This window comes from Homo sapiens, chromosome 8, assembly GCF_000001405.40.
Source record: "Homo sapiens chromosome 8, GRCh38.p14 Primary Assembly".
NCBI classification, from domain to species: domain Eukaryota; kingdom Metazoa; phylum Chordata; class Mammalia; order Primates; family Hominidae; genus Homo; species Homo sapiens.
Genome location: NC_000008.11, coordinates 125,730,061 through 125,734,114, shown reverse-complemented (window position 1 = coordinate 125,734,114; position 4,054 = coordinate 125,730,061). Strand labels below are relative to the sequence as shown.

The 4,054-nt window shown below is 45.9% G+C and overlaps 1 annotated feature.

Annotated features, from left to right (window-relative positions):
* Window positions 423-976: an enhancer, noted in NCBI's record as "NANOG-H3K4me1 hESC enhancer chr8:126745383-126745936 (GRCh37/hg19 assembly coordinates)". NCBI's record gives its function as "activates a minimal SCP1, AML or CMV promoter by ChIP-STARR-seq in naive H9 embryonic stem cells {active_cell/tissue: H9 hESC(naive)}" and the evidence as "EXISTENCE:reporter gene assay evidence [ECO:0000049][PMID:30033119]".

Below are 4,054 nucleotides of genomic sequence, written 5' to 3'. Positions count from 1 at the left end.
TCCTGAAGCTGTCCCTTGGCCTCTGTGTACTTGCATTGCATCCTCCTGGTTTCCCTCCTACCTCTTTAGCCCTTCTATTTCCTTCTCTCTTCCCTCTTCTTCATCTTCTCTGTGATATAAGGGTGTCCCCCAAACTTCCACCTTCTGCCAGCCCTCTTTCTTCCACCGCTCTGTCCTCTAGGCATGGAACATGAGAGAGGTGCAGGAAGCCATTGTCTGGGTGAGATCAGTAATAGCTATGGTTTATGGAGTGCTCACTGTGTGCCAGGCCCTTGACTGGAGCTTTCATTTGCATTATGTTCGTTATCCTCACTTAGACCCTAAAGAGGCATTAGCATCCCATTTTACAGATGTGGAAGCTGAAGCTTAGCGGGACTTAGCACAAGGTCACACGGCTTATAAATTGCCAGAATTCAAACCCAGGTCTACATGACTCCAAAGCCCCTATTTTCACTAGACTGGAGGTCTTTGTGGTTAGAAGCCACACTTTACAACTTCTTATATCCCATGGCACCTAGCTAGCTGAACACACAGTAGGTGCTTAGTGACTGCTGAGCACCTAATGGGTCCCCACCCTGATACACATTCCCTGCTGAGCCCCTGTCAGCGGCAAACAGGTTAACTGCTCAGTCGGAGGGAGCCTGGCTTTGGGCAACCTCTTTTAAATAATGAGCCTCTGGTATTCTTGCTAATGACATTCTCTTCTCACTGCTTCAGGTTTTACTCACAGGAGTAATGAATTAATTAGTGAATATGGGTGAGAAGCTCTTTGAAGTTGTAAAAAGCCCAGAGTACAAATACTAAGAAAAGGGACCAAACAGACTGCATCAGATGCCCTGTCAGTGGCGAACAGCTCCGTGTGGCTGAGCCGCCTACTCTCTGGGAACAAGCACAGACAGAACAAAGAAAGGAAAAGGGGGCACCCAGGGGCACCAAGAGCACACCCAAACACCCAGGCCAGCCGTCCCAAGCTCACTGTCCCAGGCTCCCCGTCCCCTCTGCAGGCCTGGCAAACAGTTTATTTATTTGCAGGCCTGGCACACAGTTCACTCACAGAATAATAGTGGCTGCCTGGATTGCTGTGCAGGAGAAGAATCTGGGGCCATCTTGAGGCTCAGCAAGAAAGAGTGCCACATTATCAGTGTCTGCTGCACCCAGGAGCTTACAACAGCCATCATGTACACTTGCAATCTTTAGGCCAGCTGAGGGCGGGCTGATGGAGAATGAGTTTGGCTGGTGTGGCTCAGGTCTGCAGGCCTCTCTCCTTCCCCTACTGGGATCAGCTGTTAGCTCAAGCATGTTCCCCTTGTGGTAATGGCAGAGGTGCAAGGAAATAGACAAGCCCAGTCACTCAAGTGCATCCCAAGCCTCCATCTGTGCTCACTCACTAACAAGCCATTGGACAAAACAAGCCCTAAGAATGAGACGAGCCCAGAGACAAGAAGTGAGGAAGTGTGGCTGACCACAGTGGAAGGACATTGCAAAATTACATGAAAAAGAGCTGGATACAGAGAAGGGTAAAGAATTGATGGCATTAATTCCTCCAATACCAGGAAGGAGGAGGAAGAGCAATTAAGCCAGGTGTTTTGCATACATGTCCAACAATCCCAATTCTTTACCTTGCTGTTTCTGCAAGGCCACATGCTGGAGCAGAACAGTGCCTGCACTCCTTTAAATAGGATGTGGATCTCTGGTTCATCAGCCCCAATCAGGTCTGCTTCCTTCACACATAGGAGGCACTCCAGCGTCTGTCTGGCTCCTGAGGGCATTGGAGGCTAACACTACCATCATAAAATACTCTTAACATTGCAGGTGGCATGCATACCTGACAGTACCCAAACCAAGGAGTCTCCTACCAAGTAAAGGAAGTATTGCTAATTCAGTTGTCTTATGAGATAAATAGCTAAATAACAATGTGGCCCTTGTTTGAACATTCTAAACTTGGTGAAGTATAAACATGAAACATTTACTCTAATTGTTGCCTTCAATGTGGCTATGTTAAGCCTCCTCCTCAGTCCACCTGAAGACACAGTGTCCTGTTTAATTTGGCCTTCGCATTGCCCCCTCCTCTCAGTGCTCACTGTATCTTGTCCTGAAGAAATTGGAGAGAGGAGGGGCTGCTACATTCCGTCCTTCCCTCCCCCGTCTCCGTCTCCAGGGAAGGGAGATGTCTTCTCCAGGGAGGAAGGAAAAAGTTATTTTACTTGACGGATCATTGTAGGCCACCTATGAGCTCCAAGTAGTTGGTACTCCAATGCTCGCTGTCCCACGGGTGCACATAGGAAGCCCTCTGGGGTCTCTCCACTGCACTATTTCCTAATGTGAGAGATGCACTCTAAAATATCTCCCAGTTCCTCCATAGACACACTCACGTCTCTCGCCCTGGCAACCCACCCCACGGGCTGCACACCAGCAACACGATGTGTCAGACACCTTTGATCCCCATCTCTCATCCTCTCAGCCACCACTGTGCTCCGGCCATTATCATAGCAACTAGTGATAGCACCCTGCCTCTGCTGCAGGCATCTCTTGCTTTCTGTCTGGGGCCTCTCACCTTATGAGCTGCATGCTGGAGTCTGGTCAGCCACTCTGGTGCATGTGCAAACCAGAAGTGCAAGCACAATCGCACCTCCAGGACCCTACATGACGAATGAAAACTAAAACACAGTTTTCTACGTCTTCCGTTAACAATTTCAAGGCGGCATCCCAACTGTTGCCCATAGCGGCAACACAACTGCCCGCAGCAGTGACCTGCTCAAGAATGCACCCATGGGATTGGCTTTCCCTCCTTCCATATCACTTTTCCCATCCCTCTGTTCCTGATCCCCAGAATGTTTATGACAATTCACTAAGTTAATATAAATGAATACTTAGCATGGTTCTTGGCACATAATGGTGAACAAGTATTAAGTATCACTGTAACATTCTATTGGATGTGTTTCTCAAATAATTACAGAACTTTCAAAATATTGCATAAAAATGTAAAATATATATAGTACACATTTGTTATATGTATTACACATGAATATATATAGTACACATTTGTTATACATATTACACATGTAATATAAATGATAGCCACTGTCTACATGTAGCTTTTGAGCATTTGTTGGTGCCACATGTTCAAATGTTTTCCATGTATGGGGTTACATAAAATATACTATTAAAATTAATTTCATCTGTTTTTTCATATTATTAATATAAAAATTTTATGTTAATGTTAACAGACATGTTATGTTATATTAATATGTGGTAATTTACAATGTTAGTGTTTCAAACAAAAATGTTTAAGTTACATATGTAGCTCACATTATATTTTTATTGGACAACACTGCTATATAAGGTGCTTAACACAGTACCTAGAACAGAGTAAATTTTCAATAAAATCATTACTTTACTCAAAGTTATCTCATCTAATCCTATGAGGTAGGTGCTATTACCCATTTTACTGATAAAGAAACTGATGCATAGCCAAGCAAGTAAATAACCTGTAGGCAGCTCCAGTGCCAGGCAGTGGTAGTAGAGCTGGGACTCCGATCCTGTCCCTGCATTTCCAGAGCTTATGCTCTCTCTCCTATGATATGTTCACTGTTTTGAAGACATCGGTTATCTGATTCTCCTAAGTGACCCACTGCAAAAACCTGAAACTCAAAGTTCCTGGGATTCGTCCCAGTGGGGAGCAAGGACACACAGTTTGGTTTGACCATGGCAGGTTCCTCAGCTGGGCTTGAGGGGAGAAACTTCCCACAGGGCAGGGACCTGGAAGATGGGAACATCTCCTGAAGGGGAGGGAAGCTGATGAGTTTCAGAGACCAGCACCAAGACAGGCAGGGACCCTGGGTACTGGGCCCTGAGTGAGAATCACTTCCTGATTTGATCACAGGTTTTCACATGACTTTGGTTTTTTCGGCAGCTCCATCCTTATTAATATTATGTGTCTAAGAGGAAGTGACATTGATTGTTGCTGATAGGCAACAGTGTGGTCTATGCCATCAAAAGTCCACCCTTCTTGTGGCAGGACACTGAGACTGCCTGCTGGGGCCCGCTGCTGGGG